The sequence below is a fragment of the Homo sapiens genome, chromosome 3, assembly GCF_000001405.40.
Source record: "Homo sapiens chromosome 3, GRCh38.p14 Primary Assembly".
NCBI classification, from domain to species: Eukaryota; Metazoa; Chordata; class Mammalia; order Primates; family Hominidae; genus Homo; species Homo sapiens.
Window position 1 is genome coordinate 91,345,174 of NC_000003.12, and position 17,790 is coordinate 91,362,963.

Genomic DNA, 17,790 nt, shown 5'->3' on the forward strand with positions numbered 1-17,790 from the left:
TCTTCCACTTATAAGGATCAGTCTCACTTTTCAAAGTCACGTGATTAGCAGCCTTAATTCTATCTACAACTTTAATTCCCTTTTGCTATAACATAACCTAACACATTCACATGATCAGGGATTATAATGTGGACCTTTTTAGGGGGCCGTTTTTTTTTTCCTACTACAACCACTGGAAGTTGGTAGAGGCATAGAGGATGTTGAAGGTTTGATATTGCCTGTCGAGAAATGAAAGGGGGGACAGATGGAAGACAAGCAAAAGAATTATCAAAAGAAATGTCAAATACACCCAGGTGCAGTGGCTCATGCCTGTAATCCCAGGTCTTTGGGAGGCCAAGGAGACAGATCACCTGAGTTCAGGAGTTCAAGACCAGCCTGGCCAACATGATGAAAACCCCATCTCTACTACAAATACAAAAATTAGCCAGGCATGGTGGCACATGCTATAATCCTAGCTACTCGGGAGGCTGAAGCACGAGAATCACTTGAACCCAGGAGGAGGAGGCTGCAGTGAGCTGAGATCACACCACTGCAATCTAGCCTGGGTGACAGAGCAAGACACCATCTAAAAAAAAAGAAAAAAAAGAAAGAAAAGAAAGAAATGTCAAATGTAAGTAGCAATACATTCATAGCTTTTCATCTGTACACTTGAGAGAGTTTTTCAGTCTTGCCTTTCCTCCTAAAACCCATTCACCTGATGCTCAAATCAAATAATCAGATTGTTGAACTCTTAGTGCCTTTTTTAATGTCTTTAGAACTGTTCTTAAGCTCTGTTTGCATTTTTGCCTATCTCTGAAATTTTAAGATATTTTTTAACCATTCTCATATATGTTCTCTTATAGGACCATAATTAAACTTTTAAAGAATATTTTAATATTCAAAGGACATTTCTAATTTCTATTAAGCATTTATCAATTGTGTAATCTTGTGTAAATTATGGGACTATTTTAGGTTCTTAAAGTTGGGTTTTTTCTGTTTTCCTTTTGAACCCTTTAAACACATCTTACCCAATTTGTCTGAAGATATTAGCTATACGTAATTATAATTAATTATTATAAATCCTATAACATTTGATCTTGTCACAAATGTAAACTTAGTTGTGACACTAATTTTGGACACTGGAAGGCACACTCTGGAAATGTGTTCAATTGCTTTTAATGCTGGACCCTGATGAGGACCAAGGAAGACAATCAAGGATCTCAGTGTGTATTAAGTGTTCCCTCTGTGTGGAGGAGTGCTGTGATGATCTCTCTATGTCAGAGACCAAAGGGCAAGCTTTCACTGGAGGTCCTTTATGTTATGCTAATAAATGAGTATAGGGAGTGTTTATAAGAGAGGAGAGGGAACATGTCGCTGCCATGAATAAAACTGATAAACACCCCAAGCTCATGTACCACCCCACTCCCACAAAAAAAGTGTTTGGCCTAGTTTTTATTTCCATTTTAACCAAAAGAAAAACCATCAAACTGCTCTAGTGAAAACTTTTAGGTTTTTTTCCTACTGGATTCCATCACTTAAAAGAATCACAAAAATTTTTCCTTAAAACATTGTTAGGTACCTTCTAGTTCAACATCTCCCTCCACTCCCAATCTTATTTCATACCTCATTTACCCATGTGTTGGCATAAATACCCCTATTCAAAATTTCTATACATATACAAATGCATACATGAATATCCGATGTGAAAGTTACACAGGATGTTTATTATAGATTATTGGATTTCCTTTGTACTTTGCCTCCTTAAACCTTTAATGTAATGACCTTTCCTGAATAAGCATTAAGAAATACACATATATACACACACGTGCACACACACACACATATTAAATCCTTGTTCCTGAGATACCCAAATGCTAAGGGAGCAAGGAGTAGTGAGATGGAGAAGAGGCAAAACCAAACTAGAGAAAGCATATGTAAGAACCCAGGGGAGGCAAAACCAAACTAGAGAGGAAGAGGTGTCAGCCTGCTGTGACAGAGCCACAGTTTAGAAAAAAATACCATGGTCAAGTTTCCATATCCACTTGTTCCCATTTGGAGTAAGAGAGTCTTAGCTTGGTGGCCTCTGCCTGCCCACCTGTGGTTGCTGAGTGGCTGAGAAAGTACCATAGCAGAGGCAGGGCTGGACATAAAGAGCAATGGCCTGCCACTGGAGTGTGGGGGCATTCAGGTGCAAATTTCAGTTATGATAATAGCTTGTTGTGTTTCCTTGAGCATCGCTCAATCTTTTTTAGCTTCAATCTCTTTTTCTAGTAAACTAAGGTGACACTGGTGACCTCTATGAGGCCCTTCCACCTCTAGCACACTGTGACGACATGGGTTGAGCATCTCCTGATCAGAGCCTTACCTTAACGTAGCCTGCCTTGCATGAGATTCAGTGAGACAAGACATGAGTCCACTGGGACCCTGTCTGTGTGTGGCAGGACTACACAAGAGCCCAGCATCTCCACTAATCTCATCACCTAAGAAAAAAAAATGCTCAAGCTCAGTTTTAGAAGCTACATCTCCCATAAGGCTTTAGAATGATGCTTTACAATATGCCTATAAAAGGAAAACCTGAGATATAGTCCACTCATTCAGAAATACAAATGCCAGTCTCTAGGATTAAAGAGGTGGGGGTAAGACATGAAAAGTGCTGGGCACAGTGGCTCACACCTAATAATCCCAGCACACTGGGAGGCCCAGGCAGGAGGATCACTTGAGCCCAGGAGTTTGAATCCAGCCTGGGCAATATGGAAAAAGCTCATCTCTATAAAAAATACAAAAATTGCCCAAGCGTGGTGGCATGTGCCTATAGTCCCAACTACTCAGGAGGTTGAGGTAGGAGGATTGCTTGAGACTGGGAGGTTGAGGCTACAGTAAGCTGTAATCATGCCACTGTACTACAGCCTGGGTGGCAAAGCGAGAATGTGTCTCAGAAAAAAAAAAAGTGAGAAGCATAGTTCTTACCCTCACAAAAGCAGAGGTAACTTTAACTCTGTGGTTGGTAGAGAGGGGATGTACTCAGGGCTGGGGAGACCAGAGAGAGAGAGGTTCCAAGGAAGGGTGCACAGCCTTTGAGCAGGATGCAGAAGGATGAGTGTCCACAAGGTGGCTTCGGGCAGACAGTGTTTTCAGGTGAAGGGAACAGTTTGGGTAAAGGCAGACCAAAGGGCCCTGCTGTTTAAAGAAGTGCTAAAAAATTTACTGAAGCTGGAATTTAAAGCATAGGATTACAGTGGCCAGGAATAAAAGGAATGAGTCAGCTTGAGGCCAAATTGTAACTGGCCTTATATTCCTGCCAGAGGAATTTGGAATGAGTCTTGTGGGCAACATCTGGGAATTGAGAGGTTTTCAAGCGAGAGAGAGAGAGAAATTCCGATTTTGTTCCCAGGAGAAAAGTGTTCTGGCAGTAGCACGGTGGATGGAAGAACCTGAGAAAGGCTGGCAGTAGGGATACCGGAGAAGAGGCTCCTGCAGAGCAGATAACTATTTGGAGGTAGAGGTGGGAGGCTGAATTATATTTATACATCCGTTGTACTACTTCCTTCTAATTTGATCAGCAGTAGATACAGAAGTACAGAAAGACTTTCCAGGAGTTCCAGTGAGAATAATCTGACTCTCCAGGCCAACAGTGACAATCTTCAAACAGCCTGATTTATGACTGACATTCATCATATGCCACTGTTCCTGTTACATCCCACACCCATAATGAAATCTCCCAGAATGGGGCTGGATGTCCATCTTGCCATCATCATCCTCTTCCCTCTCCTGCTGGCCTTGTCTGCATTCTGGACATCTGGGTGCTGATATCCTGTTTTGTTAGAGATGCAGCAGAAATCATTTCCAGTCTGTTTTTGTTTTTATGTGGAACAACTAAGCTAATTAATCTTAGAGAATCACATATGTATACAAAAAGCTCAGGTCTGGGGCAACAATAAAAACTTAAGATTTCCAGTTTCTTCTGACTAGATTCCAGTTCTTATTCATAACAATAATTCAATAGCCCACTGGTGAGAGACTGCTATAACCCTGAGAGAACAGCTTTGAAATACCAAGAATAATGGCATTTAGATTTCTATAGCATCCAGGCCCTCCCAGCACCCCTTGTGGCAGGATCTCACAATGTTCTACAGAAGTACAATGCATTAAGGCTCTCCTCATAAAGTAGGCAGCATTATTATTCTCATTCCTCACGCTGCCAAAACAAAGTGGAGAGATGTGCTTCTGTTGCCTGCCCAAGGTTAATTCCAGGGGCAAAACTACAAATTCAACTCAGTTATTTGCCCTCAACTATGATCAAGCAGCTTTGTATTTTCAAGAAAAGCTGATGTAACTTACCCAAAACCAGAGTAAATTACATTTCAGAAGGAGAATGAGCATGTGGGCCGCTGCCACCTCTCACACATTCCCACATCTTCTCCACTGAGCCCCAGTTGACTTTCCCAGGAAGGACGTGACACAATTGCTACCTAAGTAGATTAACATAACACATTACACATCAGCACTACAAATGCTAACCAAAAGTCAAACTCATAAATAAAGCATACCTACCCCTTAGAAAAACTCGTAAATAAAGCATACCTACAAGATAAGGAAGGAGAGGACTTCTGAAGAATGAACATCAGAGAGATAAAAAGAAACAATTGAAAATGAAGTTAAAAACATTGCGTGTCTGTAGTGTATGTGTGTATAAAAATATTTACACATAGTGTATATGTAAAACAATGAGATTCAAGATATAAACTACAATAGCTTAGGTATCAGTCAGCCCAGTGAAAATCTAACATGAGATTCAATAGTTCACCTCATGATACTAAATATAAAAAAGTTAATACCATAGAAGTGGACTTTCTATGAGGAGAAAAAAAGCGTGTCTATATATTTAAAGGTTATTTTAATTCTGTAATTATGATGAAATCTGTGCTTTAAATGTATGTCTAAAATAAAAGATGTTATGTTGAAAAATTATAGGGAGCTCAGATAATAAATTTTGGAGAGAAAAGCTAATTTCTTCAAATTAGGCAAACACACTTACACGTGGAAACTTAAGAAATGGTAAAATATATTTTAGAAACAACAGTCTGTACATAAAGTTTACCTACTAAGAGAGGTACAATATGATTTTACTGAACCATATATGCTATAGTTAAAAAAGTAAGATGGTTTATAATTTAAAGAGCTAAGCTGAAAAGTTTGGTTTGTTTGTTTTTTTATCCAGAGGATAAAATATTAAGATGAAAAAAGATATGTGACTTATACAGACGAATAGGAATTTGATGAAGTGTAACTAAAATTGTGATATATATTTTTGGTCCTTACAAAATGGTTTTACAGACTAATAGAATTTTAGTAAAGAGAAAATTTAACTTCTTAAGCATGTATATTTATAACATCTATAACAATAAAATTTTCATTTACAATGTATAGAATGGCCTTAGCAGTCAAAAGTTTGTCTAAATAATGTCTTGTAGAAAACATCCTAGAAAATAAATGGTTAAATTTGATTATTTTCTAGTCTATTGTATTTGAACTTAATTATTCTCATGATTTTATTTTCTAAGGTGGTGTTAGTGAATGTAACTTGCATAATAATTAGCATCTTACGTGGCATTTTGTCATGTTTACTCCATATTCATTGAATGGATGAATGAATGAATTGCACCCAAACAAAGTTGGAGCTCTTCATTTCTCATGTCTTAGCCTCACTCAGTTGACTAAGAACACAGACAGCCTGGGAGAACGCTGTTCAGTCACTCCTCCCAGACAACAGGCAAGACCATCTGCAAGTTGCCCAGCCTGACAATGTATTTGGTAAACCAGGGATTAATAACCATTTCTTCCCCTCCTTTCTCTGCCTCCCAATATCACTCAAAGAATCCAAGGACATAAAGCCTATGGCTTCCGTTGCTTTTTGCAGATCAATAGGAAAATTTGCCCTGTAGCCTCCAAAATTATACCAGTGGCCTAACTTGAAAATCTGTTTGAATGTTTACTATTCCTAAACTCCAGTTTGTCATAGGTTTTTGTCAAGGTCTCTGTTAGGTTGAGTTCCCCAAAAGTGGATCCTAAGACTAAGGTTGTTTATTTTGGTTTTTTGCTGTTGTTGTTTTTTTTGAGACAGTCTCACTCTGTCTCCTAGGCTGGAGTGCAGTGGCGTGATCTCGGCTCACTGCAACCTCCGCCTCCCAGGTTCAAGGGATTCTCCTGCCTCAGCCTCCCAAGTAGCTGGGATTACAGGTGCATGCCACCACACCCGGCTAATTTGTGTACTTTTAGTAGAGATGGGGTTTCACTATGTTGGCCAGGCTGGTCTCAAACTCCTGACCTCAAGTGATCTGCCCACTTCAGCCTCCCAAAGTGCTGGGATTACAAGCATGGGCCATGCACCTTGCCCTAAGACTAAGATTTGAGAGCCATTTGTTTGGGGGTGATCCCAAGAAACACCTAGTGAGAGAGGGATGGAGTGAAACAGGAAAGGGAAAGAAGCCATGTTGTTTGTTGGTAAGCAAATTACTGCTGGAGGCAACTGGAATTCAATCCTGCCAGGAGGCTCTGGGAGATGGTCAAGAACCAGCTACAGTGTGGTCCTACTCAAAAAGAGAGGAAGTTTGGATAACTGTCTACCAACTTATGTTTGTCATTTGTGAGGATGCCTCCTGGTGTGTTCATTCACGTGGCACTTTCAACCTGCTGTGCAAATGCCCAGGCTTCCTCCTGAGGCCAGAAAAACCCCTTAGGAGAGTCCCAAGTACTTGCAGCAAGAGTGTCCACCACAAGGTCTTATGTGGCATGGCAAATTGAATCTGTCTGGATACTTGGGAAACCCAAGGTCCCTCCTTCCTTTGTTCTGCTGGATACCTTGCCCTCACCTGTCCAGCTCCATTCTCCACCCCGGTGACTCTTCCAGTCCTAGGAGCACTCAGCTGATATGAGTTCCAGGGTACAGAAGCATGCTTTGTAGTTTCCCTCCACTCTTCCTACAGTTTTGTAAACACTCCTTTTATTAAACTCTCACATTAACCTTGAGGGAAATTTTCTTTATCCCTACTAAGGCAGGCACCAAATCTCTCTAAAGAAACCCCTCCTTTAAGCTTCAACCCCTTGGCCAATTTAGGCACCTCCCTTTTCCTCCCTCACTGTGAAAGAACAGCTAAAGGTCAGGAAACTTATTTCTGCCCCTCTAACATTAGTCATCTTTTTGTAAGTTCCTTATAAGCTTCTCATAAGAAGTAGGAGAGATGGTGATAAAGCTTAGTGATTCAGAGCCAGCATATCTTGAGGTACTTCCAGTCTGTGTGACTTGGAGAGAGTTACTCCTCAGCATTAAAAGTATGTAACAACACAGGCCAATTTTTTTGTTCTGAGGGTTCAATGAGAAAATGTATGTAAGGAATTTAACACAGAGCCTGGAACATAGTTAAGTGCCCATTCATTCATTCAGGAAATATGTATTAAGAATCTCCTAGGTACTGGCTGGGCATTCACACCTGTAATCCCAGCACTTTGGGAGGCCAAGGTGGGTGGATCACAAGGGTCAAGAGTTCAAGACCAGCCTGGCCAAGATGGTGAAACCCTGTCTCTACTAAAAATACAAAAATTAGCCATGCCTGGTGGCAGGTGCCTGTAATCTCAGCTACTTGGGAGGCTGAGGCAGAGAATTGCTTGGACCCAGGAGGCAGAGTTTGCAGTGAGCTGAGATCACACCACTGCACTCCAGCCTGGGCGACAGGGCAAGACTTCATCTCAAAAAAAAAAAAAAAAGTATCTCCTAGATTAAGCACTATAATAGGTACTGTGCTTACAGTAGTGAACAAAGGAAAGTCTCTGTTCTGGGACCCTAAAAATGAAATGATGGTGATAGCTGCTAGAATAAAGTATAAGGATATTCAAGGCAGGGATGCTGACTTACAGGGTATTCAACAAATGACGGAGTGAATTTGAGCAAAGACTTTAAGTAAATGAGGGAGGAAGCTGTCTGGATTACCTGGGAGAAAGCCACTTCCAGACAAAGGGAAGAGCAAGTGCAAAGGACGGGTTTGCCTATCAAGTTCCAAGAATAATAAAGAGGCCTATGTAACTACATCAGAATAAGCAAGGGAGATAATAAGGAGATGAAGCCAGAGAGGTCATAGGTACCTAGACCCTGTAGATCACTGTAGAAACTTCCAATTTTATCCTGAGCAAGTCAGGATGCCATCAGAGGGTTTTGAGCAGAGGAGTGGACATGACCAGACTCAAGTTTTGACAGGATCACTCTGGCTGCTCTGTTCAGAACAGATTGTAAGGGACAGGAGCAGGGAAACCAGCAGGGAGGCTTCTGCAATCATCCAGGTGGAGACAATAGTGGCCTGAGCTAGGGGCGTGGCTGTGGAGACAGTTTGAAGTAAGAAGGTTCTGAATCTATTTAGAAGGCGATAAGACTGTGTATTAGGGTTCCCTAGAGGGACAGAACTAATAGGAGATTATATATATATATATATATATATATATATATATATATATATATATATATATATATAAAATAGGATATATATATAATAGTATATATATATATATATCTTGGATCAATACTTTGCTTCGATACTTTGCATCCTTCAATCCAATCAAGTTGACACTCAGTATTAACCATCACAAGTCCACCCCTTGTCAACTTGAACCCATAGACATCTCTTGAGATCCTACATATATTTATATATATAAATAAATAAATATATATATTATATATTATATATGTAATTATATATAAATATAAATTATATATAAATACATATATAAATATATATAATATATAAATATATTTTATAAATATATATATTTTTTTATATATTTATATAATATATATTATATATAAATAAATATATTTATATATGTATATATATATATATTAGTTTATTAAGTCTTAATAAATCACAAGGTCCCACAATAGGCCATCTGCAGGCTTGAGGAGCAAGGAGAGCCAGTCCTAGTCCCAAAACTGAAGAACTTGGAGTCCAATGTTTGAGGACAGGAAGCATCCAGCACGGGAGAAAGACGTAGGCTGGGGGTGCTAGGCCAGTCTCACCTTTTCACTTTTTCTGCTTGCTTTACATTCATTGGCAGCTGATTGGATTGTGCCCACTAGATTAAGGGTGGATCTGCCTTCTCCAGCCCACTGACTCAAATGTTAATCTCCTTTTGCAACATCCTCACAGACACACCTAGGATCAATACTTTGCATCCTTCAATCCAATCAAGTTGACACTAAGTATTAACCATCACAAGTCTACCCCTTGTCAACTTGAACCCATACACATCTCCTGAGATCATACACAATCTCAAAGAAAGACAATAATGAGGTCATAACTGCACTAACATAATACAACCATCCTTCATACAACTGGAAATGCACCAACACCCAACCCAAATACTATTACATAAAGTTAACAATACTTAAATGCTGATAGGAAGTCAATAAATCTTATGTCACATGATAAAGGAAAAGGAAATGAAGATATTTTATTAGTACAAGTGTATAATGCACAAATATGTTATTAACTAAAGAAGAAAATACTCATGACAGTTACCATCCTTGTTTCTGCAGCTGGTCATGTGGTCGCAGCTGGTATTGATGACTACCTTCTTCTACTACCCATTCTGTATTCCCTTTGCCTTTAGAAAGCACCTCAGCAGGTAGCAGATTTTTTCCTGGTGGAGTGAACCAAATCTTCATTTCTGAGGAGTCTGGACCATTTGTAGTCCTGCCTGGCTTGGGCTGTTGTAGTTTCCCATTGACCTTAATCACAGGGCATGGTAATACTATGAGACAGCCTAATGCATCTTCTGTATTCCATACATACTTCTCCTTACCTTCATTATGAAGTAGTAGACTGATTTCATCTTGATAGTCTGGGTCAGTCACCTCAGCAAACACTGTAACTCTCCTCTTAGCCTGTTGACTTAAAGGTAGGAGGAGCCCAAGGTGGCTATCTTAACTTCCGGTTTAATTGAATTGTTGTTGTGCCTCCTGGTGGCAGTGTTCCTTCCTCTGGAACTAAGACCTCTAGGCCAGCAGAACGTAATGTCGTGGAACAGGAAGCAAAAATTTTGCTAGTGGATCACTAGGGGTGATGGTAAGTGGTGCCACTTCCACTTTCACCCCGTGATTCCCAGACCCATAAATCCTGGCTATGGGAGAAACAGTATCATATATTGGACTCTGATTCAGAGCATACACAGCCTTTGGGAGAACTTTGTCCCAGCCCTGCAAAGTATTGTCACCTAGTTGGCATTGTAATTGTGACTTCAAAAGGCCATTCCACCATTCTATTAATCCAGCTGCTTCAGAGTGATAGGGAACATGGAAGGACCAGTGAATTCCATGAGCATGAGCTCACTGCTTCACTTATTTAGCCATAAAGTGAGTGCCTTGGTCAGAGGCAATGCTGTGTGGAATACCATGATGGTAGATAAGGCACTCTGTGAGTCCATGGATGGTAGTCTTGCCAGAAGCACTGCAGGCAGGATAGGCAAACCCATATCCAGAGTAAGTGTCTATTCCAATAAGGACAAACCTCTGCCCTTTCCATGATAGAAGAGTTCCAATATAATCAACCTGCCACCAGGACACTGGCTGATCACCCTGAGGAATGGTGTCATATCGAGGGCTCAGTGTTGCTCTCTGCTGCTGGCAAATTGGGCACTCAGCAGTGGCCATAGCCAGGTCATCCTTGGTGAGTGGAAGTCCATGTTGCTGAGCCCATGCACAACCTCCATCCCTGCCACCATTGCCACTTTGTTCATGGGCCTGTTCGACAATGACAGGGGTGGCTGGGGAAAGAGGCTGAGTGGTGTCCATAGGACAGGTCATCCTATCCACTTGATTATTAAAATCCTTCTCTGCCAAGGTCACCTGTTGGTGAGCACTCACATGCAATACAAATATCTTCACAGTTTTTGACTACTCAGAGAGGTCCATCAACATACCTCTTCCCCAAATTTCTTTGTCACCAATTTTCCAATCATGCTTCTTCCAAGTTCATGACCATCCAGCCAAACCATTGGCTACAGCCCACGAATCAATATATAATTGCACATCTGGCCATTTCTCCTTCCATGCAAAGTGTACAACCAGATGCACTGCTTGAAGTTCTGCCCACTGGGAAGATTTCTCTTCACTGCTGTCCTTCAGGGATGTCCTAGAAAGGGGCTGTCATGCTGCAGCTGTACACTTTTGGGTGGTGCCTGCATATTGTGCAGAACCCTCAGTGAACCAGGCCCTAGTCTTCTCTTCCTCTGTCAACTGATCATAGGGAATTCCCCATATATGTATGTATACGTGTGTGTGTGTGTATATATATATATATATACACACACGTATAGAGTATATATGTATGTATAATACACATGTATGCATGCATATATGCGTGTATATATACACATGTATGCATGCATATATGCATGTATATATACACATGTGTACATGCATATATGTATGTATATACACACATACACGTATATATACGCATGTATTCATGTATATGTGTATATGCAAACATGTACACATATATATACGCATACATGTATACGTGTATGCATGCATGTATAGATGTGTACATGCATACATGTATACACGTGTGTACACGCATGTATGCATGTATATACACTTACATGTATGCATATGTATATTTGTACACATACATGTACACACATGCAGGCATGTATATGCACATGCATGTATACATGTGTGCACGCATGTGTGCATGCATATGTGCATGCATGTATACATATATACATGTATATATGTACGTGTTCATATGTATACATGTATATGTACATATGTATACATGTATACATGTGTGTATGCATGTGTACATACACATATGTATACGTGTAGATATGTATGTATATGCATGTATGTGTGCATGTATATATGTATGTGTGTATGTATGTGTGTATATACATGTATGCGTGTATATATGTATGTTTATATACATGTATGTGTGTATATGTGTGTATATACATGTATGTGTGTATATGTGTACGTGTTTACACATATGTGTGTGTGTACACGTATACACACATGTATATTTGCGTATACGTGTATACACACACGTGTATGTATGTATATATAAATGTGTATATATACATGTGTATACATATATAAATATATGTGTATATATACATATATGTGTATACGTATATACATATGTATATATGTGTATATATACATATATGTGTATATATGTGTGTATATATGTCTGTGTGTGTATATATATGTATATATGAGTTCATAAATCTCTAGGTCCCACAATAGGCTGTCTGCAAGCTTGAGGGGCAAGGAGAGCTAGTCCAAGTCTCAAAACTGAAGAACTTGGAGTCTGATGTTTCAGGGCAGGAAGCATCCAGCACATGAGAAAGATGTAGGCTGGGAGGCTAGGCCAGTCTCGCCTTTTCACGTTTTTCTGCCTGCTTTATTTTTGCTGGCAGCTGATTAGACTGTGCCTACCACATTAAGGGTGGGTCTGCCTTCCCCAGCCCACTGACTCAGATGTTAATCTCCTTTGGCAACACCCTCACAGACACACCTATACATTCTCCAATCCGGTCAAGTTGACACTCAGTTTTAACCATCACAGACTGTCTGTTAGACTCCTCTCCCACACATTGTATATCCAAACTAAGGATGAACTCAAGTGGTTTAGCCTAGGTGATGAGAAGGGTGGAGCTGCTGTAACTAGATGGAGATGGCTGAAGTAAGCAGGTCTGGGCAGGGGAAGGGGTTAGATTGAGAGTTTAGTTTTAGACAGATAGAAGATGCAGGGAAATGTCAAGTGAGCAGAAGGAATGCTTTAAGTTCAAATCTATAAGAATATATACTTGACATATGGTATTCAAAGCCTTGAGAATATAGGTAGTGCATTAATTCAAGCACCTCATGCCATGTAATAAACGCATGCCTTACAGGAAGTTTTCAGAATGGAATAATATTCTTCCAAAAATTGGTCCATTTCAGTGAAATAAAGAATCAAATCTGACAAGGAAACACAACAGAAAATGGAGTCACATAGAGCATTTGTGGCGGTTTGGCCAGAGCACTAATTTTAAATGGTGGTGGACTGAAGACTTTAATTACTTTGATGGACAGAACATTAGTTTTCAGATGACTGGAACTGAGCTATATACTTCTTGGAAACACCAAGGTTGTGTTAGGAAGGCAGCTTTGTTTAGGTTTGACTTTTGACAAAATTTCTTTACGGAAATATTCTGGAAGTTTAAGAATAATGTGTATAGATACTTCCTAACTACACTTAAGGAAAATAAACATAGTATGATTTATTCTAATGGTTCTACAAGAACATGAGCTATATCCTAAGTTCAGGAACTGACAAGTTTTTTTCTTTAAAGGTCAAATAGTAAATATAATAAGCTTTGATGGTCATACATCTCTGTTTGGACTACTCAACCCTGCCATTGTAGTACAAACAGCCATAGGCAACACATAAATAAATAGGTATGGTTGTACTCCAATACAATTTTATTTACAAAGATAGGAAACAGATGAGATTTGGCCCACTGGCTATAGTTTTCCTCTGTCCCACCTCCACACCCAATAGCTTTCCCCCTTCTTTGCAAAGGCTTAGAAAAACAGCTGTTTCAGTTTGGTGTACCTTACTATTCATGAATACCTTTTAAAATGTTAGTTTTTGCTGAGCCATCATTAGGTGTTCAAGCAATTTAGAAACGGATTAAATCAGCTAAAAGTTACTACAATAATTTGGGCAAGAAGTGATAACATTTTTGAACAGGATACAACAATGAGGTAGTGGGATATGGTCATGTTGTGAATATGTTTGATTTTAGAAGCAACAAGGTTTGCAGGAGAGGAAGAATGGTGTTGAAGATGGTGCCAAGGATGCTGGTTCTCCCAACAAATTGTAGCTATGAGTATGATGTTTAATTATATTTATACATCTTACTTTCTTAACCTGGCTTCTGTAAGCATGCAATAAAAATGTTTTGCCCATCATCAGATCCTCATATCACTGCTTCATGTATAAAATACTCTTCATCTTACTGAGTAATGTATACCAAGAAAATTGTATTTTAGGCATTTTGTCATTTATTTTTGAGGGTGTACTTCATAAGCAATATCACAATAGCAGCATAATTATTTTCCCAATGTCAGCCCCAGTTCTGGTTTTCTTTATTTTTCCTTTTGAGCCTTATTGGCTGATAAGAGGTCTTAGAGTAATAACACTAATGAGAATCTTTGTCACAGTGTGAGTTCCCTAGTGCATGACCTCTTCCTTTGAGCTCATCAATAGTCCACAGCACTAGTACACCCACTTGACAAAGTGACTCATCATCATTTGCATTTTGCTTTGACAGATTGGTCATTAATATAAAGCCACCCCTGCATGACTTTCTGAAGGACATATGAAGATGTTCATGGGCTGTTAAGCTGTGAATTTCTCAGAGAATTTAAATTATTCTAAGTTAAACTTCTAGGTCTTGCAGTGTGATCTTTGGTTGTCTTAGCACATTTTCTCTCTATAACAGAGTACCACAGACTGGGTAACTTATACAGAAAAGGTCTGGAGGCTGGGAAGTCCAAGGCTGAGGGGCTGCATCTGGTGAGGGTCTTCTTTCTGCATCATAACATGGCAGAAGGCATCACATAATGAGAAGCACTTGCACAAGAGAGAAACTGGGCAGAATTCCTTTTTATCAGGAACTTACTTCCTATGGTAACTAATCCATGCCTGTAATAATAGCATTAATCACAGGGGTGATAATGGATTACCTTTAATCCCCTCTTAAAGGTTTTACCTTTTATACTATCATATGGCAATGAAATGTCAACATGAGTTTTGGAAGGGACATTCAACCATAGCATTGGTTAACTGCAAAAACAATTGGGAAAACGACCCCTATAAAACAACTCAATTTCAATCTACTTGAGAAAGGACTCAAATAGGTAAGGAATTATTAACTGTGGTGCAACTTGCATTTAGGCAGCCTTAAGGTTTTGAGAAATTTTGGAAAATACAAATCAGCAGAAGACATTTATTTATTTATTCAGTAAGTATTTATTGAGCCCTATTAAGTTCTAGGACTGTTCTAGATGCTGTGTATATGGAAATAAACTAGATAAACAAGGTACTTGTTCTTATGGAGTTTATTTCCCAGAATATATACTTAGATGAGGATAAGACAGGTAATAAAAATGTAATCTAACAAGTGAGTAATTTGAGATAGTGATGAGTTATGAAGAACATATAATGGAGCATTGGGATAGAAAGTACACTGAGAATGAGGCTGCTTTACATAAGTTGTTCTTAAGAGATGATGCTTGAGCTGAGCCATGAATAATGACAGTTGCAAGAAAATTTAGTAGAAGACCATGTCAGACAAAGGAAAGGCAAGTTTAAAGGCCGAACAATGGAAATGAGCTTGGGTTTATATGGGGACATGGCATCCTTTCAACCCGTTAGATATTTGCTGATTCACAATGACCAGTCAAAAAACTGAAAAGCTAATTGGAGTTTTTAGCCTTCTGAAATAAATATTGAGATTTAAAAAATTGGAGTTCAAAACTAGGATGACTGTCCAGTTTTCATGGGACTGAGGGGTTTCTCAGGATTTGGGGCTTTTAGTACTACAATTGGGAAAGTCTTAGATAAACTGGAAGAATTTTGTCAATCTTTCAAGGCCTAGCAAGATGAGTCCTCCTTAATACCCTGAGCTTTCATTTTGGACCCCTCAAAAGCTATATATGGTCTTTGTTGTCACGAAGGCTGAAACCTAGTCTTAAATAACATCCATCCCTATTCGGATTGCGGTAGTCTGCTTCTAGCTTAAACTGCAGCACACCTTACAGCAGATTCATGGAGTTGGGGAACATAAAAATTGGAGTCCTGGGATTTCCAAGGAATACTAGCCTTGATAAAAACCCAAGGCTTCTGGCTGGGACTTGTAGAGATAAGCCCATCAAAAAAAATCAAACAACATAAATAAATTCACAGGCAATCCAGACACTGGAGTTAACAAACTGGGGCTTAAAAATACCTGTGAAAGTTACGTTTTTTAAAAAATCGAGAATTAGATTCAGAATCCTAACAGAGAACTAGAAGCTACACGAAAGAATCAAATGGATATTCTAGAACTAAAAAAATACAGTAAGAGAAATTAAAATCCCAATATATTTAACAGTGGATTAGTCACAGCAATCAAGAGAGCATTAGTGAACTAAAATATAGCTCAGTAGAAAATTGTCATGAACTCTGAGTGTTCTGAGATTTTAGCCTACTTGCAAGCTAAGTTAGGCTGTCGCAATTTCACAGATGCTGAAAGAAAGCATCAGACTGCTCTGTCAGAGACAAAGATACTACTCAAGGCTTTAGTTCCCCTGTAACCCACTCCCCATCCCCAGTCCCATGGGAGTGATACAGAGGTGAGTCTAAGTAGAGTCTGTTGACATAATAGATCTGTGTCACTGCTGAGGAGTCTCAGGCTTAGGAAATCCCTAATCTTATGCGGGACTTCTAGCAAACCTGACCAATCTTTGTCTCAGAGGAGGACATTATCTTTATGATGCTGATGAAACAAAGTTACCCTCCACCCTAGAATGAAACACTACTTCTATCTTGGTTTGCTATACAAACATCCTTGAAAAGATCTACAAAATATATAGAAATGTCATGGAGAATTGTCCCTCAATAAAAATATATAAACTAAAAAACAGAAAGTAAAAAGACAGTCTCTAGAAATGAAAGAGAAGAAGCAATATTTGAAGAGACAATGGCAGGAAATCTTCTAAAACTGAAGACATCAAATTTCAGATTTCAGAAGTATCACACATCTCCTACAGAACTAGAAAAAATACCCTATGTATATAATAAACTATTGAAAACTAAAGACAAAGAGAACAACATAAAAGCAGTGTGAAACAAAAGATGTATTACCTACAAAGGAGCAATTTTAGGACTGACAGCTAACTTCTCAACAGAAACAATGGAAACCAAAAGACAAAAAAAATAACATTTAAAGTGGTACAGAAAACAACTGCAAACCTAGACTTTAAAAAAAAGTTGTGAGAAGATACACATAACATAAAATTTACCATTTTAACCATTTTAAGAGTAAAGTTAGGCAGTATTAAATATATGTACATTATTGTGCAACCAATCTCTACAACTTGTTTGTGTTGTAAAACAGAAACTCTACCCCTATTTGTTTTAATTCAGGCTACAATAGCAAGATATCATAGACTGAGTGGCTTAAACCACAAACATGTATTTCTCAGAGTTCTGGAGGTTAAGAAGACCAAGATTAGAGTGCCAGCAGATTTGGTGTCTGGTGTGAGTCCTCTTGGTTTGCAAATAGCTGCCTTCTTGCTGTATCCTCACATGGTGGTGAGAGAGAGATCATCTTTCTTATGTCTCCTCTTATAAAGGGCACACTGGCACTACTCATGAGAGCTCTACCTTTGTGACCTAACTACCTCCCAAAGTTGGTCCCACTTCCAACTACCAGCACAATGGGAATTAGGGTGTTAACATGGATTTGGGGTGAACATAACATTCAGTACATATAATTAAACAACCCCTTTTCTTCTTTCTCCTCCCCCCAGTGACCTGGCAATCACCATTCTACTTTCTGTTTCTATGTATTTGACTGCCTTAGATATCTCATATAAGTGTAGTTATGTACTATTTGTCTTTTTGTGACTGGTATATTTCATTTAGCACAATGTCCTCAAAATTCATCTATGTTGCAACATGTGTCCATTTTCTTCTGTTTAAAGGTTGAACGATATTCTATTGTATACAC

General features: G+C 39.0%; 1 annotated feature.

Annotated features, from left to right (window-relative positions):
• Positions 1-17,790: part of a centromere (Linear centromere model derived predominantly from reads generated in PMID: 17803354. This region does not represent an actual centromere sequence, as long-range ordering of repeats and unmapped WGS contigs is not provided by the model. For details of model production, see http://arxiv.org/abs/1307.0035.) that runs on past both edges of the window.